Source organism: Homo sapiens, chromosome 11, assembly GCF_000001405.40.
Source record: "Homo sapiens chromosome 11, GRCh38.p14 Primary Assembly".
Taxonomy (NCBI): domain Eukaryota; kingdom Metazoa; phylum Chordata; class Mammalia; order Primates; family Hominidae; genus Homo; species Homo sapiens.
The window spans coordinates 3,638,051-3,664,862 of NC_000011.10; the positions used below are offsets into that span (position 1 = coordinate 3,638,051).

The 26,812-nt window shown below is 51.1% G+C and overlaps 2 protein-coding genes across 10 annotated transcripts, besides 2 other annotated features; one reads left to right on the forward strand and one right to left on the reverse strand.

Moving 5' to 3' along the window:
- Positions 1 to 461: 461 nt before the first annotated feature.
- ART5 (ADP-ribosyltransferase 5) lies at positions 462 to 4,329 on the reverse strand. Of its 7 annotated transcripts, none has more exons than NM_001079536.2 (5): positions 4,128 to 4,329; positions 3,756 to 3,814; positions 1,592 to 2,321; positions 953 to 985; positions 462 to 743 (listed from the first exon to the last, which is right to left on the reverse strand). In NM_001079536.2, exons 2-5 carry the CDS (start codon positions 3,810 to 3,812, stop codon positions 688 to 690), a joined length of 876 nt encoding a protein of 291 aa, NP_001073004.1. In that variant the 5' UTR covers positions 3,813 to 3,814; positions 4,128 to 4,329; the 3' UTR covers positions 462 to 687. The 7 variants fall into 7 exon arrangements, 6 of the variants coding, with proteins under 6 accessions (NP_001073004.1, XP_005252836.1, XP_011518181.1 ...); XM_005252779.4 differs by having other exon boundaries at positions 462 to 869; XM_011519879.4 differs by having other exon boundaries at positions 462 to 872.
- Positions 3,649 to 4,362: an enhancer, noted in NCBI's record as "H3K27ac-H3K4me1 hESC enhancer chr11:3662929-3663642 (GRCh37/hg19 assembly coordinates)". NCBI's record gives its function as "activates a minimal SCP1, AML or CMV promoter by ChIP-STARR-seq in naive H9 embryonic stem cells {active_cell/tissue: H9 hESC(naive)}" and the evidence as "EXISTENCE:reporter gene assay evidence [ECO:0000049][PMID:30033119]".
- Positions 4,502 to 4,551: a silencer, noted in NCBI's record as "silent region_3081". NCBI's record gives its function as "represses an Ori minimal core promoter by ATAC-STARR-seq in GM12878 lymphoblastoid cells {active_cell/tissue: GM12878}" and the evidence as "EXISTENCE:reporter gene assay evidence [ECO:0000049][PMID:35858748]".
- On the forward strand, positions 7,078 to 26,366 carry ART1 (ADP-ribosyltransferase 1). 3 transcript variants are annotated; one of them, XM_017017763.3, is made up of 6 exons: positions 7,078 to 7,129; positions 17,454 to 17,605; positions 21,091 to 21,226; positions 21,533 to 22,313; positions 23,322 to 23,363; positions 26,042 to 26,366. In XM_017017763.3, the coding sequence occupies exons 3-6, from the start codon at positions 21,164 to 21,166 to the stop codon at positions 26,137 to 26,139; spliced, it is 984 nt and encodes a 327-aa protein (XP_016873252.1). In that variant the 5' UTR covers positions 7,078 to 7,129; positions 17,454 to 17,605; positions 21,091 to 21,163; the 3' UTR covers positions 26,140 to 26,366. The 3 variants fall into 3 exon arrangements, with proteins under 3 accessions (XP_016873252.1, XP_011518416.1, NP_004305.2); XM_011520114.4 differs by having other exon boundaries at positions 21,112 to 21,226; NM_004314.3 differs by lacking the exon at positions 17,454 to 17,605 and having other exon boundaries at positions 21,112 to 21,226.
- The last annotated feature ends 446 nt before the right edge of the window (positions 26,367 to 26,812 follow it).

Here is a 26,812-nt window from a genome sequence, read left to right on the forward strand (position 1 = left end):
GAGTGTTACACAGGTCTGCACAGGAGACCGTGTTAATAATAACAAGAAGTTATTATTATTGTTATTTTTGAGACGGAGTCTTGCTCTGTCGCCCAGGCTGGAGTGCAGTGGCGCGATCTCGGCTCATTGCAAGCTCCGCCTCCCGGGTTCACATCATTCTCCTGCCTCAGCCTCCCAAGTAGCTGGGACTACAGGTGCCCGCCACCACGCTCGGCTAATTTTTTTGTATTTTTAGTAAAGACGGGGTTTCACCGTGTTAGCCAGACTGGTCTCGATCTCCTGACCTCGTGATCCACCCACCTCAGCCTCCCAAAGTGCTGGGATTACAGGCGTGAGCCACCTGCTCCTGGCCCCAAGAAGTTTTTTTTTTTAGTCCCTCAGTCAGTCCCTCAGCCCAGCAAGGCCACAGCGGGGCAGAAGGTCTAGTCTCATGGAATAAACCAATCATAAAATTCCATGTCTCCACACTGCAATACCATTTAATCACGTAGCTACCTCAATAAAACTCCATGTCTCCACATTGCAACACCGTTCAATCAAGTGGCTGCCTCAGTACTTTCCTTGCTTGTCCCAGGAAGTCCCCATCACATAGCAGAGTTCCCTCAGCCCTGCTGTGGCCTCCCCAGGCCAACATCCTGGTTGGGGAGAAGGCTGCTAGGGCTGGGTCCGGAACCATGTTCTTGCTTCTCAAGGCTGCTGGAGGTGCCTCTTCGTCATATGAAGGTCACCCGTTCCCAGGGCTCCTAAGTGGCAGATGTTGGACTTTCAGGGCCCAACCCCTGAGAGCTGGAACTCTCCAGGGGCCAAGAGCAGAGTCTTCCAGGGGGGCAGAGAGGAGGCCCCCTCAGATTGTGACCCTAGCTGCACCCCTGCTGAAGGGAAAAGAGGAGGAAGGGGTCAGCAGGGTGAGGGGGAGTCAAAGCAGCTGAAGGAGGATGGAAGGGCAACTCACCTGGCGCAGACACACAGCCCCGCCTCTTCTCCCCTGCAACAGACAGCAGGGTGAGGCCTCCGCGTGGACAGACTCGCACCCAAACTGCCTGGCCCACCAGGCCCTGGCAGGGCCATTTCCCTTCTCAATCTATCTTTCCCTTCACCTAAAGGGAAACTTCTGATTTCCCTTCCTCCTCCGTCCTCCAGGAACTCTTTCCAGATTGCCTTTCCATCCCTCTTCCCACCCAAGACCCAGTCACTCTTCCATCTCTCCCTGCCTTAGCACTTGGGAATGGCACATACGTGCCCTGTCAGCCCCATCGAGCCCAGGGCCCCCCTGAGACCTGAAGCAGTCCCCTTGGCTCTTTCTGCTGCTTGCTAATCTCCTTAACCAGGTTCTTTTGGTCTATTAGACCATGTAGCAGATGGACCCTTTTGAGGACATATAGAATCATCTAAGAATGTTCACGAATCTAGAAAACACTTATAGGACCCCAAAAAACCTGAGTCACAGAGGACAGCAACTCCAGCTGACTTCCAGCCCTCATTTCCCCTTTAACCAAGTGGGTCTCCCGAAGGCCCCGGGGATTATTGTGTAAGGACATCCTGGCTTATTTCACCCACACTGCCAGTCCTGCTTCCCCCATGCACAGCTTACCACCCAGATAGGCGCAGTTAAAATGGCTACAGGTCTGATTATAGCTCCAGAGAGTCACCAAGCTCTGGGCTCCATCCTGAGAGAATCTGGTAACCAAAAAGACTTCATGGGGGGGAATCAGCACCTCGCGCTCCTTGGGAAAGACAGAGAAGGCCTGTATAGGGGCCCCAAAGCAAGTTGTTAGAGAGAAGAGGGTGGCATTACCAAATCTGTGGGCCACTGCCTTATCCAGGGAGCTGGAGGCAAACTGGCCCAAGCGGACAGAGTCTCCCAGCCTCTTGGGTTCAAAGCGAAGGCTGCCCACACCTCGGAACACCACCTCCCCAGGTCCCCTGCTGCAGCCCCCACTGCCTCGCAGCAGCTGCAGGGCCCGGATCAGGTAGAAATGCAGGGCCTTGAAGGGAAAGTGCCTCATGTAGAGCTCCCGGGAGCCTCCGCCCGTCCGCACGGCCTGATTCAACTCCCAGTACAAGGTGTTCGATGAGTTGGTGTAGACCATAATGGCTATTCCATTCTGGGCTTTGAAGCCAGGGGGCAAGGTAAGCCCTCGACGCTTGTCCTCCCAGGTCTCCTGGGCTGCCTCCCAGGATTCCCGCAGCAGGGCATGGTGGGCCATTTCCTCCTTTAGCAGGGGGGCTGCCTTCTCCTCCATCTCCTCTGCACAACCCACATAGGTATCGTCAAAGGTGTCTGGAGCCAGGCCCAGGGGCAGGATGGGAACAGCCTGGGCCTGTGGAGCAAAAGAGGTGCCACACCGAAAAGAGCATAAGTTCAGAGCACTGGACATGGGTCCTGGGGGCAAACCCATCCAGAAACACAGAATCTCATTTCTATCCCTAAATATCAGGTATATGCAATTTGGCAAGGGCCCAATAAGAGGCTTAAATAACACAGGCACTGGAGTCAGTCAGACATGGACTGAAATCTTTTTTTTTTTTTTTTTTTTTTGATGGAGTCTTGCTCTGTTGCCCAGGCTGGAGTGCAGTGGTGAGATCTCGGCTCACTGCAAGCGCCACCTCCCAGGTTGGAGTGATTCTCCCACCTCAGCCTCCCAACTAACTGGGATTACCTGTGCATGCCACCATGCCTGGCTAATTTGTTTTTGTGTTTGTTTCTTTGAGACGAAGTCTCGCTCTGTTGCCCAGGCCGGAGTACAATGGCACGATCTTGGCTCACTGCAACCTCTGCCTCCCGGGTTCAAGCAATTCTCCTCTCTCAGCCTCCCAAGTAGCTAGGATTACAGGTGCGCAATACCACGCCCAGCTAATTTTTTGTATTTTTAGTAGAGACAGGGTTTCACCATGTTGGTCAGGCTGGTCTCGAACTCCTGACCTCAAGTGATCCACCAGCCTCAGCCTCCCAAAGTGCTGGGATTACAGGAGTGAGCCACCGCGCGCAGGCTGAAATCTTGACTTTACCACCTATTAGCTGTGAGGCCTTGGGCAAGTGTCATAACTTTTCTGGACTTGAGGATACTTCCAACCTCACAGTTATTATGAAGACAGCATAAAGAGCATTACTTCTGTACAACCTAAAAGGGGTCATCCTGTCATTAGAAAGGTTCTTGCAGTCGGTGGGAGGTGGGACTAGATGACTATCAAGCACTTTTCCGGCTGTAAGATCTGGCAGGCAGGTGATGTGCAAATATTACACACAGCCAGTGTCCAGCTGCCTAACCCCCAGCCCCATTCTCCTCGGGCTCTCTTTCCCTCTCATCCAGCAGGAAGCCCTTGCAGGTAGGTGCTCAGCCACCACACCAAATCACTGTGAGCTCTGAGACGCCTGAGTCCTCCCCTGCTCTGTACCCACATTTGGGGTAGGGGTGGTGGGGAGGCCAAGCCTTGGTTGGGACGGGCTGCCAGGACTGCAGCACACAGGTAACCCAAGGAGGCTTTGCCGGGCTGTGCCTGCGCTGGGAGATGAGAGGTGGGGAGGAGAACGTTGGAGGCATCCAGAGAGGGATGGAGATGGGGGTTCTAGGAGACAGAATGGGAACTTGGGGCTCCCTGCAGAGATGGAGGTTCCTGAGAGGAAGAGAGTTAAGAGTGGAATCCTAGGGAAGAGTCCCTGGGAGAGGGATGTGAGGAGTCAGCCCCGGGTCCACTTCCTCAGGGTCTGTCCCTTAATGTCCCCCTTGGGGCTAGGAGATGGTTCCTGGAGTTACCTGCCAGGTGTGGAGGCCGAGGCTGCCGAGGGCGATCATCAAAGCCGCCAGCGCCATCCCTGGAGGAGACGTGAGGGCCAGGGGTCCGGGTGAGGGCGGGACCAGAGGTGCTGGAGTCCTGGTTTCGAGGGGCTGGAGGCAGATCTGGACCCTGTCTCCAGGCGCACGGGATCCCGGGTCCAGGATTAGGGCCCCGGCGGGGCGTGGGCGGGGCCTGGGAGTTTATTGCCCGCCCCCCGCCCCAAGTCTCCGCCCCCGACTCCCCACACCCCTTCCTCAGAGCCTCCAGTCTGGGGACCTTTCCGAGACTGTAAAGGCGGGGCCGCAGTTTGGCTCCGCCTGAGAGGGGAGGGCCGGGGGCGGAGGACCCACTTGAAGGCTGCGGAAGCCGCCAGCGGGAGGGAGCGCCGAGGGCTCTGGCGGGCGCTGCGCTGTCCCCGGAGGAGTCCGGAGTCCGGCTGAAAGCAAAGGTTCTCGAGGCTAACTGTAGCCCCCGCGCTGGTAACCCGACACCCCTTTCCCAGCGCCGCACGCGGGGCCGGGAGCGGGCGCGCCAGGGCAGGGACTGAGGAGCAATTCCCTTTCTCAAGGCCTGCGGGGTCTTTCTGCGGGACCCTCTTTGGCTGTGAGTGATGGGGAGGAAACTTGTGAGACTCGGCCTCTCCCTCAGGCGGGCCCTGACCCGGTCGGCCCCTGGTCCCCGGCCCACCAGGCCAGGGGCCCCGCGGGGGTCCCGCCGGCCGAGAGGTCGCCCCCGGAGCACTGCGATTTGCATACAGTTTGCATTTGGCCCACACCCTGGGCCACGTGCTCCAGCATCTGAGCAGCGCCCACTCCCTGCCTGCTCTGGGCCCTCTCCCCATTCGCCTTCAGTGGGGTTGGGCCAGAGACAGAGCCCTTGGTCGCAGATCCACAGGGTCCGGTCTCGCCCCTCCCCCAGACCGCTCTCGTGGCCGCTCAGACTCAGGTGACCCATGTTTGTAAACACTGGCCTTTCCCCCACCTCCTCTGGGCTTATCTATAAATAACCTGGCTCTGAGTTTTGGATGCCCCGTCAGAGGTCATGGGAGAAGGGGCCAGCGGAGGAATTGGTAACTCAGGGAAGAGCTTCCTAGCAGCCAGAGCCAGGAGGAGGTGGGGTTGTCACCCCTCCTTCCCCCAGCGGCCGGAGGGTCGCCGAAAGCTAGGATTTGAGAAATGCTGCCTGCTGGGGCTGAGGTGGGCACGAAAGATTAGAGCTACCCAAAGGAATCCATCCTGGTCTGGCTCATTAATTTTCCCCATCCCTGTCCCCCCATCCCCTCAGAGTGTCAGCCAAATAAAAAGTTTCCTCCACCTAGAATCCTGCTATCTCCCAGAATCCTTTCTGTAGACCAAACGGGAAGACATACGGTGGGTCCAGGCTTGGAGGAGGGTGGGGAGGGAGGTGCTTCTGAGTGCTTGTTAGAAAAACAGCTCCAGGGCAGGGCGCAGTGGCTCCCGCCTGTAATCCCAGCACTTTGGGAGGCTGAAGTGGGAGGATCACGAGGTCAGGAGTTCGGGACCAGCCTGGCCAACAAAGATTAGCCGGGCGTGGTGGCAGGGGCCTGTAATCCCAGCTACTTGGGTGGCTGAGGCAGGAGAATCGCCTGAAACCGGAAGGTGGAGATTGCAGTGAGCTGAGATGGAGCCACTGCACTCCAGCCTGGGCAAAAGGGCGAAACTCCATCTCAAAAAAAAAAAAAAAGAAAAAAGAAAGAAAGAAAGAAAAACAGCTCCAGGACAAGTTCTTTTGCCCCCTTCTATGAGTCTAGCCATCCCAAAGCCCTCCCAGATTCTAAAATAAGGAATCATCCTACCGTTTCCCATCATGGTGAAAAACAGCATTTGCCTATATATCCTGCCTGCCCACTCTCTGGAGGAAGTTGAGTGTTTGCAGTTGCTTGAAAAGATACCACCTGAGGACAGCTTGGCCTGCTGGGATGACCCGAGACCAGATGTATTGGAATCACTGCTTTGTCCCTCTCCACCCTCTGGCTTTGGGGGATTGCTTCTCCCATCCCAGGACCTGGAACCCAAAATAAGGCCCCAAGAGATGGATTCAAATCTAGTCATTGGGGGCCGGGTGCGGTGGCTCACACCTGTAATCCCAGCACTTTGGGAGGCCGAGGCAGGCGGATCACGAGGTCAAGAGATCGAGACCATCCTGGCCAACATGGTGAAACCCCATCTCTACTAAAAATACAAAAATTAGCTGGGCGTGGTGGCAGGCGCCTGTAGTCCCAGCTATTCAGGAGGCTGAGGCAGGAGAATCGCTTGAACCCGAGAGGCAGAGGTTACAGTGAGCCAAGATTGCGCCACTGCACTCCAGCCTGGTGACAGAGCGAGACTCCATCTAAAAAAAAAAACTAGTCATTGGGCAGGGATCCTAAGTATAGCATTAAGAAGTCCTGCAAGATCACTGGTAAGTCAGAGCTGGAACTGGGACTCAGAATACAGCCTCCTTAGTTCGAATCTCTCCTGGCACCTTAGCTAAGTCTCAGTGTTTGTGTGAAAGGTACAAAATCTAAGGAGACGCTCTCTGAGGTCGGGGTGCTGAAGCTTCCTCCTCTCTTCCTCCTCCTTGGCTGACCAGAGTACAGGACCACAGCCAGTGAGGAGGCAGTTGTCCCAGCCTGGATCCCCAGTGCTTCAGTCCACCTCCTCTCTGGCTTCAGGGATTCCCTTTTTTGTGGGAAATGTAGCAGGAAGAGCCTCAGACAAAACCCCTCAGATGCTGAGTTAAAGAAGGAAGGGGTTTATTCAGCTGGGAGCATCGGCAAGACTCCTGTCTCAAGAGCTGAGCTCCCTGAGTGAGCAATTCCTATCCCTTTTAAGGGCTCACAACTCTAAGGGGGTCCGCGTGAGAGCGTCGTGATCGATTGAGCAAGCAGCGGGTACGTGACTGGGGGATGCATACACCGGTAATTAGAAGGGAACAGAACAGGACAGGGATCTTCACAGTGCTTTTTTATACAAATAACCGATTAGGTCAGGGGTCAATCTTTAACTGCCAGGCCCAGGGTGTGGCGCTGGGCTGTCTGGCTGTCTGCTTGTGGATTTCATTTCTGCCTTTTAGTGTTTACTTTGGAGGCAGAAATCGGACATAAGACAATATGAGGTATGGTTTCCTCCCTTAGAAGAACACTGGGCAGGTCAGACTGGGCAGAGGCTGGTGTTCCTGAGCCCTGAGGAGACATCCAGAAATAGATGGGGGCGTGTCACGTTTCTGAGCAGCTGTGTGGGGGAGGTTCAAGGGGTGGGGACTAACAATATCAAAAAGAAACTTGTCCTCCCCTCTCCTGGTGGCCATGGTGGAGATCAGCAGCAGCTTCCCCACCCAGGACAAGGCCTAGGTAAGGAGTGCACCACTCTCCTCCTGGGTGCTGGGCAGGAAAAGTGGTTTTGAGGTGAAATTTGGGAGATGAACGGTGGAATTTTAGGAGTCATGAGAAAAAGTTTCCAGGAAACTTTGATGAAGTTTGGGATACCTAGGAAGGTTGGGAGCCATGGGAAGTTTGGGATTCCTGTGGGGAGATTTGGGGTCACATTCCCAGGAGGGTATGTTCAGCAAGGGCCTGGATGAGAAACTGATGACAGAATTGCTCCGAGCAGGATGAGAGGGAGGACAGAAGCGCAGCTCCCTTGGGCTAGAAAAGGAATTGCTCAGCATCCCCAGCTCCTTGGGCCCATGCCCACCCCATCCCTCCGGTTCCCACCACATCTCCCCTGACACTGGTCACCAAGGCCAGCCACCCACCTGCTCTGCAGTGGTCTACACTGTTAGCTGCGCTGAGAAAGTTCCTCAGACTCTCAGCAAACATGCTGGGGCCTCCCCAGTCCCTGGCCTTGGCATACATGGTCCCTGCCCTCAAGGAACTCACTGGCCAGAAGAGGAGCCAGGCACATATAAGGGCAGCACAGTGTGATAAGGACAGTGACAGAGGACAGCACAGGGTGATACCAGAGCCCAGAGGAGTCAGAGGGCTTCCTGGAGGAGGTGGCCCTCGGGTTAAGCCTTGAAGAGTAGGTATCCAGGAGAAGGGTGTCCCAAGGAGAGGGGCGATGTGTGCAGAGCCACAGGGAGGGTAACCACGGAGCCGCACCTGCGACGTTGTTCTGCACTACAGAAGCCAAGCAGGAGTGGCAGGTGCGAGCCTGCAGAGGGTGCAGAGGGCCAGGATAAGGACGCTGGCCTCTGTCCTTAGGGTATGGAGGGATGTTTTGTTTGTTTGTTTTGTTTTTTTTTTCTAGATGTGTTTGTATCTCTTCCCTCATGATTTTCATCTCTGCATTTTTACTCTATATTTTGAGATATTTCTTCCAGTCAGTTTTGGCACAGAGGGCTTTTAAGCATGTAAGGAACATGACCAGAGTCGCGCTTTAGAAACATTGCTCTCCCTGGGCAGGCAGGATATTGGGGCTGACTGTGGAGGCGGGGAGATCAGCGAGGAGGAAGGGGCAAACCTGAGCCAGGGCAGGGGGTGTGGATGTTGAAGGGAAGGAGAATCTAGGATGGACCCCTATCTCACCCAGCATTAGTTGGCAACTATGTGAATGTTTGACGAATGATTGACTGAATGGACACCCAGGGGACCATCATGGGTGACTGGGTGAATAATGGGGATGGTTTATCACGTGAGACTTGCCATGGCAAATTAACAGGAGCCACCCTGAGCTAGATTAAGCCTAAAGAGGATTTTATCACAAGGATACCAGGGTATCTCATGGAACCCAAGGACCAGATGCAAAGAGCCTCTAGAAAGCCAAGGAGGAGTGCGGCTCCACCTGACCTCTGGCTTCATCAATCAAGCAGCTCACCCTCTGCCTTTCAGCCTTCTCTTTCCCTTGCTCTGGGGATCTCATCTCTTCCCTGATTTCAATCACCTGTGACTCTCAGATGTCTCCTTGATTGTCCATTCTGCTACCTCTTGGACATCTGCTTCAGGGAGTTCACATTTCCCAAAGTGAACTCACCATTTCCCCTCCAAACCCGATCATTCATTCAATACATTTTTACTGAGCACCTGCTTTGTACTGGGACTACAATAATGAGCAAGATGAGCTTTTCAAGTCTACTCTGGTATAACATTGTGCCTATAGTAACAATAAGGCACTGTGCACTTAAACATGTGTAAAGAGGGTACATCTCACATTAAATGTTCTTGCTACATGAAAACCAAAAACAAAACAAAACAAAATAAAAATAAAAACAGGCCAGGCACGGTGGCTTATGCCTGTAATCCCAGCACTTTAGGAGGCCGAGGCGGGCAGCGGATCACCTGAGGTCAGGAATTTGAGACCAGCCTGACCAACGTGGAGAAACCCCATTTCTACTAAAAATATAAAATTAGCCAGGCATGATGGCACATGCCTGTAATCGCAACTACTGGGGAGGCTGAGGCGGAGAATTGCTTGAACCCGGGAGGCAGAGGTTGCAGTGAGTCGAGATTGCACCATTGCACTCCAGCCTGGGCAACGAGCAAAACTCCGTCTCAAAAAAAACAAAACAAAACAAAAAAAAAAACGAGGCTGGGTGCGGTGGCTCAGGCCTATAATCCCAGCACTTTGAAAGGCCTGGGCAGGTGGATCACCTGAGGTCAGGAGTTCCAGAACAGCTTGGTCAACATGGCAAAACCCCTTCTCAACTAAATACAAAAATTAGCTGGGCGTGCTTGTGGGCACCTGTAGTACCAGCTACTTGGGAAGTTGAGGTGGGAGAATCACTTGAACCCGGGAGGTAGAGGTTGAAGTGAGCCGAGATTGCACCACTGCACTCCAGCCTGGGCGACAGAGTGAGACCCTGTCTCAAAATAAATAAATAATATATAAATAAAAATAAAAATAAAATGAAAACAAAGGGATACACAGAAACTTGGAAGTGATGAACATGTTTATTCCCTTGATTGTGGGAATGGTAACATGAGTGTATACTTATTTCCAAACTCACCAAATTGTATATATTAATTATGTGCAGTTTTTTGTATACCAATTATACTTCAATGAGGCTGAAAAAAAAAAAAGTAAAGTTGCACAGGGCTGTGCTGGAGCAGGACACTCTGCAGTCATGTAAGAATGGTGGAAGAAGATAGAGGGCAATAAAAGAAGATGGGCAATAAAAGAGGTGTCAGGCCTCTGAGCCGAAGCTAAGCCATCATATCCCCTGTGACCTGCACAAACACATCCAGATGGCCGGTTCCTGCCTTAACTGATGACATTGTCTTGTGAAATTCCTTCTCCTGGCTCATCCTGGCTCAAAAGCTCCCCTACTGAGCACCTTGTGACCCCCACTCTGCCTGCCAGAGAACAACCCCCCTTTGACTGTAATTTTCCTTTACCTACCCAAATCCTATAAAACGGCCCCACCCTTATCTCCCTTCGCTGACTCTCTTTTCGGACTCAGTCCACCTGCACCCAGGTGATTAAAAGCTTTATTGCTCACACAAAGCCTGTTTGGTGGTGTCTTCACACGGACGCGCATGAAATTTGGTGCCCTGACTCAGATCGGGGGACCTCCCTTAGGAGATCAATCCCCTGTCCTCCTGCTCTTTGCTCTGTGAGAAAGACCCACCTACAACCTCAGGTCCTCAGACCGACCAGCGCAAGAAATATCTCACCAATTTCAAATCCAGTAAGCAGACTCTTTTTACTCACTTCTCCAACCTCCCTCACTATCCCTCAACCTCTTTCCCCTTTCAATCTTGGCGCCACACTTCAATCTCTCCATTCTCTTAATTTCAATTCCTTTCATTTTCTGGTAGAGACAAAGGAGACACGTTTTATCTGTGGACCCAAAACTCCGGCGCCGGTCACGGACTGGGAAGGCAGCCTTCCCTTGGTGTTTAATCATTGCAGGGACACCTCTCTGATTATTCACCCACGTTTCAGAGGTGTCAGATCATGCAGGGACGCCTGCCTTGGTCCTTCACCCTTAGCGGCAAGTCCCGCTTTTCTGGAGGAGGGGTAAGTACCCCAACCCCTTTTCTCTGTGTCTCTACCCCTTCTCTGCTTTTCTGGGGGAGGGGCAAAAACTCCTCAACCCCTTCTCCTTCACCCTTAGCGGCAAGTCCCGCTTTTCTAGGAGGAAAGAACCCCCAATCCCTTATTTCCACACCCCAACCTCTTACCTCTGTGCCCCAATCCCTTATTTCCACGCCCCGACCTCTTATCTCTGTGCCCCATCCCTTATTTCCGTGCCCCGACCTCTTATCTCTGCGCCCAAACCCCTTATTTCCACGCCCTGACCCCTTTCCCGCTTTTCTGGAGGGTAAGAACCCCTGAACCCCTTCCCTCCGTTTCTCTACTCTCTCTTTTCTCTGGGCTTGCCTCCTTCACTACGGGCAACCTTCCACCCTCCGTTCCTCCGTCTCCCTTAGCCTGTGCTCTCAAGAACTTAAAACCTCTTCAACTCACACCTGACCTAAAACCTAAATGCCTTATTTTCTTCTGCAAGGCTGCTTGACCCCAATACAAACTCGACAGTGGTTCCAAATAGCCAGAAAACGGCACTTTCAATTTTTCCATCCTGCAAGATCTAAATAATTCTTGTCGTAAAATGGACAAACGGTCTGAGGTGCCTGACGTCAAGGCATTCTTTTACACATCAGTCCCTCCCTAGTCTCTGCCCAATGCAACTTGTCCCAAATCTTCCTTCTTTCCCTCCCGCCTGTCCCCTCAGTCCCAACCCCAAGTGTCGCTGAGTCTTTCTAATCTTCCTTTTCTACAGACCCGTCTGACGTCTCCCCTCCTCCCCAGGCTGCTCCTCGCCAGGCTGAGCTAGGTCCCAATTCTTCCTCAGCCTCAGCTCCTCCACCCTGTAATCTTTTTATCACCTCCCCTCCTCACACCCGGTCTGGTTTACCATTTCATTTCATGACTAGCCCTCCCCAACCTGCCCAGCAATTTCCTCTTAAAAAGGTGGCTGAAGCTAAAGGCGTAGTCAAGGTTAATGCTCCTTTTTCTTTATCCGACCTCTCCCGAATCAGAGCGTTTAGGCTTTTTCATCAAATAAGAAAAACCCCGCCCAGTTCATGGCTCGTTCGGCAGCAACCCTGAGACGCTTTACAGCCCTAGACCCTAAAATGTCAAAAGGCCACTTTATTCTCAATATACATTTTATTACCCAATCTGCTCCTGACATTAAATAAAACTCCAAAAATTAAATTCCGGCCCTTAAACCCCACAACAGGACTTAATTAACCTCACCTTCAAGGTATACAATAATAGAATAGAGGCAGCCAAGTAGCAATGTATTTCTGAGTTGCAACTACTTGTCTCCACTGTGAGACAAACACCAGCCACATCTCCGGCACACAAGAACTTCCACACGCCTGAACTGCAGCTGCCAGGGGTTCCTCCAGAACCTCCTCCCCCAGGAGCTTGCTACAAGTGCCGGAAATCTGGCCACTGGGCCAAGGAATACCCACAGCCCAGGATTCCTCCTAAGCCGTATCCCATCTGTGTGGGACCCCACTGAAAATCGGACTGTTCAACTCACCTGGCAGCCACTCCCAGAGCCCCTGGAACTCTGGCCCAAGGCTCCCTGACTGACTCCTTCCCAGATCTTCTCGGCTTAGCAGCTGAAGACTGACATTCCCCGATTGCCTCGGAAGCCCCCTAGACCATCAGGGACTCCGAGCTTTGAGTAACTCTCACAGTGGAAAGTAAGTCCGTCCCCTTCTTAATCAATATGGAGGCTACCCACTCCACATTACCTTCTTTTCAAGGGCTTGTTTCCCTTGCTTCCATAACTGTTGTGGGTATTGACAGCCAGGCTTCTAAGCCTCTTAAAACTCCCCAACTCTAGTGCCAACTTAGACAATACTCTTTTAAGCACTCCTTTTTCATTATCCCCACCTGCCCAGTTCCCTTATTAGGCAGAGACACTTTAACTAAATTATCTGCTTCCCTGACTATTCCTGGGCTACAGCCACACCTCATTGCCACCTTTTCCCCCAGTTCAAAGCCTCCTTCACATCCTCCCCTTGTATCTCCCCACCTTAATCCACAAGTATAAGGCACCTCTACTTCCTCCTTCGCGACCGATCATGCACCCCTTACCATCCCATTAAAACCTAATCACTCTTACCCCGCTCAATGCCAGTATCCCATCCCACAGCATGCTTTGAAAGGATTAAAGCCTGTTATTACTTGCCTGTTACAGCATGGCCTTTTAAAGCCTATAAACTCTCCTTACCATTCCCCCATTTTATCCGTCCTAAAACCAGACAAGGCTTACAGGTTAGTTCAGAATCCGCGCCTTATCAACCAAATTGTTTTGCCTATCCACCCTGTGGTGCCAAACCCATATACTCTCCTATCCTCAATTCCTCCCTCTACAACCCATTATTCTGTTCTGGGTCTCAAACATGCTTTCTTTACTATTCCTTTTCACCCTTCATCCCAGCCTCTCTTTGCTTTCACTTAGACTGACCCTGACACCCATTAGGCTCAGCAAATTACCTGGGCTGTACTGCCGCAAGGCTTCACAGACAGCCCCCATTACTTCAGTCAAGCCCAAATTTCATCCTCATCTGTTACCTATCTTGGCATAATTCTCATAAAAACACACGTGCTCTCCCTGCTGATAGTGTCTGATTAATCTCCCAAACCTCAATCCCTTCCAAAACAACTCCTTTCCTTCCTAGTCATGGTTAGTGCAGTCAGAATTCTTACACAAGAGCCAGGACCGCATCCTATAGCCTTTCTGTCCAAACAACTTGCCCTTACGTTTTAGCCTAGCCCTCATGTCTGCGTGCAGCGGCTGCCGCTGCTTTAATAGTTTTAGAGGCCCTAAAAATCACAAACTATGCTTAGCTCACTCTTCACATTTCTCATAACTTCTAAAATCTATTTTCTTCCTCATACCTGATGCATATACTTTCTGATCCCCCAGCTCCTTCAGCTGTACTCACTCTATGTTAAGTCCCACAATTACCATTGTTCCTGGCCCGGACTTCAATCCGGCCTCCCACATTATTCCTGATACCACACCTGACCCCCATGACTGTATGTCTCTGATCCACCTGACATTCACCCCATTTCCCCATATTTCCTTCTTTCCTGTTCCTCACCCTGATCACGCTTGATTTATTGATGGCAGCTCCACCAGGCTTAATCGCCACACACCAGCAAAGGCAGGCTATGCTATAGAACAAGCCACCAGCCCGCCTCTTAGAACCTCTCATTTCCTTTCCATCGTGGAAATCTATCCTCAAGGAAATAACTTCTCAGTGTTCCATCTGCTATTCTGCTACTCCTCAGGGATCATTCAGGCCCCCTCCCTTCCCTACACATCAAGCTCGAGGATTTGCCCCCACCCAGGACGGGCAAATTAGCTTTACTCAACATGCCCTGAGTCAGATAACTAAAATACCTCTTAGTCTAGGTAGACACTTTCACTGGATAGGTACAGGCCTTTCCTACAAGGTCTGAGAAGGCCACCGCAGTCATTTCTTCCCTTCTGTCAGACATAATTCCTCAGTTTAGCCTTCCCACCTCTATACAGTCTGAAAACAGACCAGCCTTTACTAGTCAAATCAGCCAAGCAGTTTTTCAGGCTCTTAGTATTCAGTGAAACCTTTATATCCCTTACGGTCCTCTGTCTTCAGGAAAAGTAGAACGGACTAAAGGTCTTTTAAAAACACACCTCATCAAGCTCAGCCACCAACTTAAAAAGGACTGGATAATACTTCTACCACTTTCCCTTCTCAGAAGTCAGACGTGTCCTCAGAATGCTACAAGATACAGCCCATTTGAGCTCCTGTATAGACGCTCCTTTTTATTAGGCCCCAGTCTAATTCCAGACACCAGACCAACTTAGACTGTGCCCCAAAAGAACTTGTCATCCCTACTATCTTCTGTCTAGTCATACTCCTATTCACCATTCTCAACTACTCATACATGTCCTGCTCTTGTTTACACTGCCGGTTTACACTGTTTCTCCAAGCCATCACAGCTGATATCTCCTGGTGCTATCCCCAAACTGCCACTCTAAACTCTTGAAGTAAATAAATAATCTTTGCTGGCAGGACTATGTTGAATCTCCTTAGGCACTCTCTAATCAGATGTCCTAGGTCCTCCCAATTCTTAGACCTTTTATACCTGTTTTTCTCCTTCTCTTATTCCATTTAGTTTTTCAATTCATACAAAGCCATATCCAGGCCATCACCAATAATTCTACACGACAAATGTTTCTTCTAACAACCCCACAATATCACCCCTTACCACAAAATCTTCGTTCAGCTTAATCTCTCCCACTCGAGGTTCCCACGCTGCCCCTAATCAAAGCAGCCCTGAGAAACATCGCCCATTATCTCTCCACACCACCCCCAAAAATTTTCACCGTCCCAACACTTTACCACTATTTCATTTTATTTTTCTTATTAATATAAGAAGACAGGAATGTCAGGCCTCTGAGCCGAAGCTAAGCCATCATGTCCCCTGTGACCTGCACATACACATCCAGATGGCCGGTTCCTGCCTTAACTGATGACATTCCACCACAAAAGAAGTGAAAATGGCCGGTTCCTGCCTTAACTGATGACATTGTCTTGTGAAATTCCTTCTCCTGGCTCATCCTGGCTCAAAAGCTCCTCTACTGCGCACCTTGTGACCCCCACTCTGACTGCCAGAGAACAACCCCCCTTTGACTGTAATTTTCCTTTATCTACCCAAATCCTATAAAACGGACCCACCCTTATCTCCCTTCGCTGACTCTCTTTTCGGACTCAGTCCACCTGCACTCAGGTGATTAAAAGCTTTATTGCTCACACAAAGCCTGTTTGGTGGTCTCTTCACACGGACGCGCATGAAAAGAGGAGCTTCGTATTTTTTTTAAATCTACTCCGCTTCTCCTCTGTGTTTCTAGTTTAAAGAATGGAAACCTGGGTGTCATCCTTGATTTTTCCCTCTCTCACGTCCCCTATAGCCCATCAGACATCAAGTCTTGTAAATTCCACCTCCTACCTCTGTCTATCCTCACTGCCATTCTCCCATCAGACATCAAGTCTTGTAAATTCCACCTCCTACCTCTGTCTATCCTCACTGCCATTCTCCCATCAGACATCAAGTCTTGTAAATTCCACCTCCTACCTCTGTCTATCCTCACTGCCATTCTCCCATCAGACATCAAGTCTTGTAAATTCCACCTCCTACCTCTGTCTGTCCTCACTGCCATTCTCCCATCAGACATCAAGTCTTGTAAATTCCACCTCCTACCTCTGTCTGTACTCACTGCCATTCTCCCATCAGACATCAAGTTTTGTAAATTCCAACTCCTACCTCTGTCTATCCTCACTGCCATTCTCCCATCAGACATCAAGTCTTGTAAATTCCACCTCCTACCTCTGTCTATCCTCACTGCCATTCTCCCATCAGACATCAAGTCTTGTAAATTCCACCTCCTACCTCTGTCTATCCTCACTGCCATTCTCCCATCAGACATCAAGTCTTGTAAATTCCACCTCCTACCTCTGTCTATCCTCACTGCCATTCTCCCATCAGACATCAAGTCTTGTAAATTCCACCTCCTACCTCTGTCTGTCCTCACTGCCATTCTCCCATCAGACATCAAGTCTTGTAAATTCCACCTCCTACCTCTGTCTATCCTCACTGCCATTCTCCCATCAGACATCAAGTCTTGTAAATTCCACCTCCTACCTCTGTCTGTCCTCACTGCCATTCTCCCATCAGACATCAAGTCTTGTAAATTCCACCTCCTACCTCTGTCTGTCCTCACTGCCATTCTCCCATCAGACATCAAGTCTTGTAAATTCCACCTCCTACCTCTGTCTATCCTCACTGCCATTCTCCCATCAGACATCAAGTCTTGTAAATTCCACCTCCTACCTCTGTCTATCCTCACTGCCATTCTCCCATCAGACATCAAGTCTTGTAAATTCCACCTCCTACCTCTGTCTATCCTCACTGCCATTCTCCCATCAGACATCAAGTCTTGTAAATTCCACCTCCTACCTCTGTCTGTCCTCACTGCCATTCTCTTACTCAGGTCCACTAATTCCATGTCCTCAGTCTGCCTTCAAGCCTCTCCTCCCCTCAAGCCTCTGATGTATCTTGTTTATTGTAGAGCAGATGCAGACAGAAACAGAGCTGTGGAGACACAATGAGAGATACAGCTGGCCCAGTGGGCTTTTGCTGCATAACTATTTTGCCGTGTGCCACAAAATCTCAGTGGCAAACAAACATTTACTCCCAGGCTCATGGTCTTTGGGTTGACGGCAAGTGGCTTATCTAAACTGGACTTGGTTGGGCAGCTCTGCTCAGGCCGCCGGTCTGGCTCAGCTGGGGTCTTCCTTGCTCTGGGCTGGGCTCAGGTCTGTTCCTCACGTGTTCATTCTGGGGGTCCAGACTAAAGAAGAATCTTCCAAAGAAAAGACTCTCAGTTTCCTTCCCCCAAAAGCAGACCCACAGACAAGTACATGGGTGCAGTGAGCTTCTTTGTAAAGTGATCCCAAGAAATACAAGTCAGGGAGCGGCAAAGTCAGACAGAGAAGAGAAAAGCAGCCAATTAAAAGCCTGTTACCACTGTGATCAACTAGTCCCACTGGGGACCCTCTATGGGACAGGAAGTCTGACTTCCAGCCCTCATTGGTTGAAGGCTGTCCTTGAGAATATTAAATCCCTTACACTTTTGGCCTGCCCTGTGCTCACAAAAAACAGGCTCCCAGGGTGATGGAGAATGCTTCAGAGACAGAAAAATGTGAGCCCTAGAAGTGGGAGGCTGACAGCCTGCATGAGAACTATCCACTGTACCTGCATGTGGACTCGAAGACAGTCTCCGGGAATATGGGCTGAGGAATCCACAGTGTCAGGTACACTCTCTTTTACCCTGCATCCATAGATCAACTCGCAGGAAGGCCTCTGATTGGCCTTCTTGGGTCATGTGCCCATCCATGAGCCAGTCACAATGGTCAAAGCCTTAGGGCACCAGTCCTGGGGCATGTGTTCCTCTCATGGGGTGCATAGAATGAGAAAAGCCCCACCTGAGCCCATGACTGGATTCTACACAGGAAAGTGAGGAACTAGTAACAGCAGCTCTAGCCTCCTTGCTGGACTTCAAGAGACCACAGACAAGAGCTCAAGTCTTTTTTTTTTTTTTTTTTTTTGAGACAGAGTTTCACTCTTGTCGCCCAGGCTAGAGAGCAATGGTGCGATCTCGGGTCACTGCAACCTCCACCTCCCAGGTTCAAGAGATTCTTCTGCCTCAGCTTCCCGAGTAGTTGGGATTACAAGCGCACAACACCACGCCCAGCTAATTTTTTGTAATTTTAGTAGAGATGGGGTTTCACCATGTTGGCCAGTCTGGTTTCAAACTCCTGACCTCAGGTGATCCACCCGCCTTGGCCTCCCAGAGTGCTGGGATTACAAGCGTGAGCCACCGCGCCCGGCCCAGGGAAGTGGGTTTTCATAGCTCACTGCAGACTCAACCTCCTGGTCTCAAGCAATCCTCCTACCTTCAGCCTGCCGAGTTGTTGGGACTACAGATATGCACCACCACACCTGTAGCCTGGCTTATTTATTTATTTATTTATTTATTTATTTATTTTTTAAATTTTTGAGACGGAGTCTCGCTCTGTCACCCAGGCTTGAGTGCAATGGCGCAATCTTGGCTCACTGCAACCTCCGCTTCCTGGGTTCAAGCTATTCTCCTGCCTCAGCCTCCCGAGTAGCTGGGATTATAGGCACCTGCCATCATGCCCAGCTAATTTTTGTATTTTTGTGGAGATGGGGTTTCACCACGTTGGCCAGGCTGGTCTTGAACTCCTGACTTCAGGTGATCCGCCCACCTCAGCCTCCCGGAGTTGTCCGGATGTATTTTTTTATTTTTAGTAGCAATGGTGTCTCACAATGTTGCCCAGGCTCGTTTCAAACTCCTGGGCTCAAGTAATCCTCCCGCCTCAGTCTCCCAAAGTGCTGGGATTACAGGCTGGAGCCACCATGGCTGGCTGTTGTTCATAATTTTATCCTTAATGCCTGACATGCTACAGATGCTAAACAACAATAACAAAAAAAATTGTTGAATAAATGAGTAAGCAGCTTTTGAGGGGGAGAAGATAATGAGCTCCATTTTGGACATGTGGAATTTGGTAAAAACTACTGCTAACCCCATTGTCCAGAGAAGCTCATACTTCACATTTAAATTGTGTATTGGCAATTATAGGATCTTAGATTTGAAGATTAATGAAATTATAGACACATAGAATCCCAGTGTCTTAGAGTCACTGAACTATCCAAACTTAGGTCTCCCCAGAGCCAGAGGAGATGATAAAGCAGCGACGCTTAACCTAAATGAGATTGGGGGCAGAGGCATAACCACCTTGATATTTATGTAACATTTGTGTGAAGGCGCATATATTCATTTTCTGAAGGGAGGTTTCAGCTTTTATCAGATTCCAAAACATAAAGACCCATTGACTATATTACCATTTGTGTACAGAAAGAAAACAGAGGCTGGGAGCTGTGGCTCACGCCTGTAATCCCAGCACTTTGGGAGGCCAAGGTGGGTAGAATGCTTGAGCCCAGGAATTCGAGATCAGCCTGGGCAACACGGCAAAACCCCACCTCTACAAAAAATATAAAAATAAGCCAGGCATCGTGATGTGTGCCTGTACTCCCAGCTACTCGGGAGGCTGAGGCAGGAGGATCGATTGAGCTCAGGAGGTCAAGGCTGCAGTGAGCTATGATTGTGCCACTGCACTCCAGCCTGGGCAACAGAGCAAGACCCTGCCTCAAACAAACAAACAAAGTAGATACCATTTTTCCTACCAGTTAAATGGAAATTAAAAAGAGATCAATCATATTCAGCACTGGCAAAGATGTGGAATAAAGGGCACTCTCATCCATTGTTGGTGGGGTGGCAGTTTCTGTCAAAATAAAAAATATTCATATTCTTTAAATCTCATTTTACTTCTCAAAATCTTTCCTATAAAAACATGCACACACATAGAGAAGGATTTATATACCTAAATATTCACTGTAGTATTATGTATAATATTTTAAAATTAGGGAAGAAACCTAAGTGTTCATAAGTATGAAATGGTTAATTATGGTTTATACCATGAGATAAACCAAGCTGCCATTATGTGAGCAGGGAGATATTTATGTACTGACATGGAAGGAAGTTAATATTTTTTTTCTGAGGAAAAAAGGTAATAAAATGTGTATGTGTAAGCATGTTTCCTTTCAGTTCTTAAAAAAATGACAATAAGGCCGGCATGGTGGCTCACACCTGTAATCCCAACATTTTGGGAGGCTGAGGCGGGCGGATCACCTGAGGTCAGGAGTTCGAGACCATCCTGGCCAGCATGGTGAAACCCCGTCTTTACTAAAAATACAAAAATTAGCTGGGTGTGGAGGCGGGCACCTCTAGTCCCAGCTACTCCGGAGGCTGAGGCAAAAGAATCACTTGAACTCAGGAGGTGGAGGATGCAGTGCGCCGAGATCACGCCACTGCACTCCAGCCTGGGCAACAGAGTGAGACTTGGTCTCGGAAAAAAAAAAAAAAAGAGAGAGAAAGAAAAAAAAGGAAACTGCCTGCTCCAATCCAGACCCAATGCCTGGACACCCTCTTCCTGGAACCACTTCGGGCACTCCGCCTGTCCCCCAGCAAAGAGGGTGTGGAAGGCTTGTGGTTCCTGCTGCTTCTCTTAGGGAAACTGGTATCCTCTGTCTTCTCCTGCTCTTCTGATCCCCTCTTCCCCCAGCACCCGGGGTTTATATCTGTCCCTCCCTGGAAGCACCGAAGGCTCATTCCACAAGAGGACTGCAGGGAGTGGGGGCAACTGGTGGACCAAGCCCTGCTCTAAGTCTGTCCCTGGAGATCCTGCTAAGGCCCCACCAGCTGAACACTCCTGGATCTGCCCCTGTCCCAAAACCCACAACCCCTGCGAGGTGAAGCCCAGGTCTCTCACTGTGGCTGTCAAGTCCTTTCATGACTGGCCCATCTTCCCAACGTTCCTACCCCGCAAGCTCTGCCAGCCTAGATGACATGTCTTTCTCTCTTTACATCCTCAGTTCCCACCTCCAATACCTTTGCTTTTTCCATTCCTGCTGCACAAAAGTCCTTTCCCACCCAAACACCAGTCTTTTCTCTCCCAGTCTCCACTTGCTGACATCTTAGTCTCCTGTTCATCCTACAAGACCTGTTCACGTCACTCCTCCAGGAAGTCACTCATGTTCCTTTCAGCAAGAAGGGTCCTCTCTCTTCTGAGCCTCCATGTCTGTCTTATGACTCTCAGTGCCAAGCACTAGGAATGGCACAGACTAAGTGTCGATTCATGTTTATTAAACTATACAGATTAACACTGCAATTTTCCAGATGAGGAAACTGAGACCCAAAAAGAGACAGCAACTGGCCCAGGGTCACCAGCATGCAGATGCCTGCTATGATGTCTCTGCTTCTTGTGTCTGTGGGCCTCATGGAAGCACTTCAGGTATGGGCATCCCCCACTGTTCCCACCCCAGCAGGGAACTGAGCCATCGGCTTCTTCTGAACCCTGGAGGGAGAAAGAGAGAGAGGAAAGAATGCCCGACGCTTCCCCTGGGGATCACTCAGCCCAAGGGGACAGCTCCAGATGCTAGTCTTGGGGAAATTACAGCCAGAGGTTCCCAATCCCCTTCCCCACCAGGTGTGTTTGGGGCCCTTCCTGCCTTTCTCAGTGGAGGGGAGAGCTGGATGGCAGGGGACTCATTCTCCCAGGGGCCTATCCTCTCAGTCCCTGCTACTCCTGTCCCCTCAGGCCCAGAGCCACCCCATCACACGACGAGACCTCTTCTCTCAAGAGATTCAGCTGGACATGGCCCTGGCCTCCTTTGATGACCAGTACGCTGGCTGTGCTGCTGCCATGACAGCTGCTCTCCCGGATCTCAACCACACGGAGTTCCAGGCCAACCAGGTGTATGCAGACAGCTGGACACTGGCAAGCAGCCAATGGCAGGAGCGTCAGGCCAGGTGGCCAGAGTGGAGTCTCAGCCCCACCCGTCCATCCCCGCCACCCCTGGGCTTCCGCGATGAGCATGGGGTGGCCCTCCTGGCCTACACAGCCAACAGCCCCCTGCACAAGGAGTTCAATGCAGCCGTGCGTGAGGCGGGCCGCTCCCGGGCCCACTACCTCCACCACTTCTCCTTCAAGACACTCCATTTCCTGCTGACTGAGGCCCTGCAGCTCCTGGGCAGCGGCCAGCGTCCACCCCGGTGCCACCAGGTGTTCCGAGGTGTGCACGGCCTGCGCTTCCGGCCAGCAGGGCCCCGGGCCACCGTGAGGCTGGGGGGCTTTGCTTCTGCCTCCCTGAAGCATGTTGCAGCCCAGCAGTTTGGTGAGGACACCTTCTTCGGCATCTGGACCTGCCTTGGGGCCCCTATCAAGGGCTACTCCTTCTTCCCTGGAGAGGAAGAGGTGCTGATCCCCCCCTTTGAGACCTTCCAAGTGATCAATGCCAGCAGACTGGCCCAGGGCCCCGCCCGCATCTACCTCCGAGCCCTGGGCAAGCACAGCACCTACAACTGCGAGTACATCAAAGGTAGGAGGGCAAGCGCTGGTCGGCACCTGTGCGGAAGGTGGACCTTCCACATCCACCAGGGACTTTGGCAAACCGAAGCCCCTATCTCCTGTGTCCCAGGGATACATAAATACAAGTCATATCCACCAGCTCCCAACCCCTTCCATCTAAGGGGAGACATAACCTTCTGAGGGGTGCACTTACTGCCCCTGAAGGGATCTAAGCCATAGTTCGCCACTTGCCTGCTGGGAGGCTGAAGAGGTTTCCTGGCCAACGCAGCGGTCTCTGGCCATTTGAGTGGGCAAGCAGACCCGGTCGGGCTTTTCTCCTGGTCAGAGGCTGGAAGGGAATTATTTTCCAGCCAGATTATTGACACCTAGATAGCTGTTGCCAGAAATGAGTAGGAGTCCCACCCTCAGTTTCTGAGAACAGTGCATTTATGAGATGGAAGAGGAATTATGTGCTGAAGGGTGTGCTGGGTGGGGTGGTGGGGGCAAGGAGACAGCAGTTGGGTGCTGTGCCCCTAAGGTCCAGCTCAGGCTGTGGTCAGGAAGTGGTGGATGCTCCTCCTGTTCATGTCCCCAGCACAGGCCAGAAGAAGAACCATGAGGATGGGCCCAGGTTCTTAATTTCTGAAGGGCTATGGGCTTTACTTCCTATCTTGGACAACATCAGGAGCATGCATGAGTTGACAGAAGGTAAGGAGGGCATGCAAAGAAAACAAACCAGGCTGGGGCGAGGCATGGAAGAGGGAGAGGTGAGTGTGGCAGGGAGGCAAAGTTATAGGCCCAGGGAGCAGGAGTGCCCCAGAGTAGACCCTGGCTCTGATGGCCCACTCCCTTCTGGCCCTGCTGCTCATGGGTCGAGGCAAACCTAGTCAAGGGAGGTTCCACCATGAAAGAGCAGAATTAGGGGGAAATGCACCAACTTCTCCTAGAACAAGTCAGGGATGGACTACCAGGGCTCTGAGGTCCCTTTCCATCCTGACAGCTCCTGAGCCTTTCATTCTTTACTGTTTCTTTTCTATAGACAAGAAGTGCAAGTCTGGGCCTTGCCATCTGGATAATTCAGGTAAGGGCTGCAGGCACCTGTGGGACTCAGTTCAGGGATGAGCAGGCTGCTCTGGGGTTGGCCCCATCACCTCGATCTTTTTTTTTTTTTTTTTTTTTGAGACAGAGTTTCACTCTTGTTGCCCAGGCTGGAGTGCAATGGCACAATCTCGGCTCACTGCAACCTCCACTTCCCGGGTTCAAGCCATTCTCCTGCCTCAGCCTCTTGATTACAGCTGGGATTACAGGCGCATGCCACCAAGCCCGGCTAATTTTTTGTATTTTTAGTAGAGATGGGGTTTCACCATGTTGGCCAGGCTGGTCTTGAACTCCTGACCTCAGGTGATCCATCCACCTCGGCCTCCCAAAGTGCTGGGATTACAGGCGTCAGCCACCGTGCCCGGCCCACCTGAATCTTTTATAAGGAAACAACTGCATTAATAATAAAAAAAAGTGCACTAGCTGAAGTGGCACCTTGGGGGTTGCCAGCCTTAGCCAGGAGATGAGTGTGTGGGAGAGCAGATGGTTGAGGGAGCAGGGACACCTGCTCTCCAGCCTGGATCTGCCTATCCCTTGCAGGAAAAGGCCACTGATCAGGCCCCTGAGAGATTCAGGCTGCACTGAGGTGAGGGACAGAAGGGCTGCTCCCCACAAAGTCCTCCTTTGGTCCTTCTCTGCCTCCCAGTGCAGAACCCACTGTCTCTGTTACTGCCCTCAGGGCTCCCTCAAACCCACCTTTGAAGGCCATGAGGCCAGGCTTTTGGTGCTGGAGGCCTGGGCTCTAGTCCAGGCTCTGCTCTAACTTTCTCTACGACCAACCCATTCTTTCTCTGTGCCTCAGTTTCTCTGTGTGTATAATAAGCAAATTGGACCAGATGATCCCCAGCTATGACTCTTCTCTTCCCTCGGACACTTGGTGTGCCAAGGCCTACCCAGGCCACCATGTTTCTAGGTGGGAATGGGCCATTTCCAGGGAAGAAACAGCAGCTCCTCCCCAAGCCTTCAGAACTCCTTTGTCCTTCAGAACTCTGTGAGTGGGCAGGAAGGACCCCCCAGCTTCCTCTGATCCACTCCAGGCACATCATGCCATTCATCCTCACCACACCCCAGTGGTACTGTCATCACCTCTGTTCTGCAGATGAAAGTACCAAAGCACAAAGGGGCAAAGAGAGGCCGGGTGTGGTGGCTCACGCCTGTAATCCCAGCACTTTGGGAGGCCAAGATGGGCAGATCACCTGAGGTCAGGAGTTCGAGACCAGCCTGACCAACATGGAGAAACCCCGTCTCTACTAAAAATACAAAATTAGCCGGGCGTGGTGGCGCATGCCTGTAATCCCAGCTACTCGGGAGACTGAGGCAGGAGAATCTCTTGAACCTGGGAGGCGGAGGTTGCTGTGAGCCATGATTGTGCCATTGCACTCCAGCCTGGGCAACAAGAGCGAAACTCTGTCTCAAAACAAAACAAAACAAAAACAAAAAAAATCAAAGGTGCAGAGGAGAAGCAACTGGCCCTGTGCCACCCAGCTACTAAGAAGTGGAGTCCAGAGAGCCTGGCTCAAGAGCCAAACTCTGAACCACCACACCAGGATAGTTCCCACCCCTCCCCAGACATCATCTCATCTCATCATCTCATCTCATCTCATCATCTCATCTCATCTCATCTCATCTCATCTCATCTCATCTCATCATCTCATCTCATCATCTCATCTCATCTCATCTCATCTCATCTCATCTCATCTCATCTCATCTCATCATCATCTCATCTCATCTTTACTGCACAGTAATCTATGGGAAGGAGGCAGAACAGGAGGCATTACCCCCCTTATATGGTCAAGTGAGACCCAGAGACAAATTATTTGCTCAAGGTGACAATGAGTTTATGGCAGAGCCAGGACAAGAAGCCAGGTTTCCAGCTTCCAACCCAGGCATCTTTGAGTTCTGATTATGTAATTCCAGATACTGGAAAAGTTTAGGATTTCTCCTTCTAGTCCACTCCACACCTCTCCTACCAGGGTTTGGGTAGAGGAGCCAAGTTCAGCCACAGCAGATCCCACTCTGATCTTAAATCCATGTTTCATCCCACTCTGCAGCACCTTATTTGTGGCAATAGAAGGCAGTTAAGTTAGACCCAATGACCTCTGGAAGAGAAACTGGGACTCTAATTGGTCTCATCTCTGTCTACCTTCCTAAATTCTTTATTAAAAAAATTTTTTTTTGAGACGTGGTCTCAGTCTGTCACCCAGGTTGGAGTGCAGTGGCACCACCACAGCTCACTGTAGCCTCAAACTCTTGGGCTCAAGCGATCCTCCCACCTCAGCCTCCCAAGTAGCTTGGACTACAGATATATGCCACTACGCCTGGCTACTTTTTGTATTTTTTGTAGAGAAGGGTTCTCCCTATGTTGCCCAGGTTGCCTAAAATTTTTTAAGCCAGTCAAATTTAGCAGTGGGGGGACTGTACATCAACTTTAGTGACACTGGTGTTAATAAGTTCTGATAACCCATTACCATTGGACCAGCTCCTCCCTAAACTTGATCTTCATCTCTGTTGCCCGTGGCAGTTTTGTGTATCAGTCTGTCCAGCTCACTCTGCCAATCTCTCCACCTTGTATCTGCATGTCCCCACTTTTGCTCCTGTGCTCCTAAATACCTCTTTTTTTCTCTCTCTCTCCCCCAACCTCTCTGCCTGTTTTCCCTGCAGCCATGGGTCAGAGCCCCCTCTCTGCAGTCTGGTCTTTGCTGCTGCTGCTCTGGTTCCTCGTGGTGAGGGCCTTTCCAGATGGTCCAGGCCTCCTTTGATGCATGAGACACGGGACAGCCTCGCCTGCTGCCTCTGCCCATCCTGAGGATGTTGGCCATGTGTGCTTTCAGTGTAACCAAGATTCCTGTCAATCCCATCTGCAGGGAACTCTGGGACCTTCTCTGGTAGCTGCCAGACCGGCTGGTGGAGAAACAGGAGACAATCTGGGGACTGAACCTTACCCAGGGCTGTAGGAGTGAGACTCTGAATAAAGGGTTGGGCCGGCGGTGTGGCAGGTACTTCAAGACAGGCAGCAACTAACCTGGCGATAGAAGGGCTTCAGCTGATTTGGGGGATGACTGGAGAGGAAAGCGCTTGGCCGTCATACCTGCTAGTGTTACTCAGATGCCTCACGTGTCCATCTGGAAAGCTTCTGTTCACTCCTCCAGGAAGCCTTCTGTGACCTCTCCCACCTGGCTGGGGTAGTGACCCTGTCTCTACGCTCCCACAGAGACCTGGATGCTTCCCTATACCACCACATGTCCATGTCTGTCTGCCACATCAGACCATGAGCTTCCTGAGGGAAGGGACTGGGTCGGAGGCACAGAGATGGTGCCAGGAAACGTGTGAAACTCAGAAAGGAACAAATACCTGTGAATGGCTGGTCCCTGCACTGCCCCTGCCTTGGACACTGTCAAGCTCTCATTGTCCGTGTGTGGGAATGGGGTGGAC

Bases quoted from the DNA above. Each gene is read 5' to 3' on its own strand.
- ART5 (XM_011519879.4), bottom strand. From the start codon at position 3,812: ATGGCGCTGGCGGCTTTGATGATCGCCCTCGGCAGCCTCGGCCTCCAC. The intron at 2,322-3,755 runs GTAACTCCAGGA...TTTGCTCCACAG, and splicing joins TCGGCCTCCACACCTGGCAG to GCCCAGGCTGTTCCCATCCT. The intron at 986-1,591 runs GTAAGCTGTGCA...TGTCTGTTGCAG, and splicing joins TAACTGCGCCTATCTGGGTG to GGGAGAAGAGGCGGGGCTGT.
- ART1 (XM_017017763.3), top strand. From the start codon at position 21,164: ATGCAGATGCCTGCTATGATGTCTCTGCTTCTTGTGTCTGTGGGCCTC. The intron at 21,227-21,532 runs GTATGGGCATCC...CTGTCCCCTCAG, and splicing joins GCCTCATGGAAGCACTTCAG to GCCCAGAGCCACCCCATCAC. The intron at 22,314-23,321 runs GTAGGAGGGCAA...TCTTTTCTATAG, and splicing joins CAACTGCGAGTACATCAAAG to ACAAGAAGTGCAAGTCTGGG.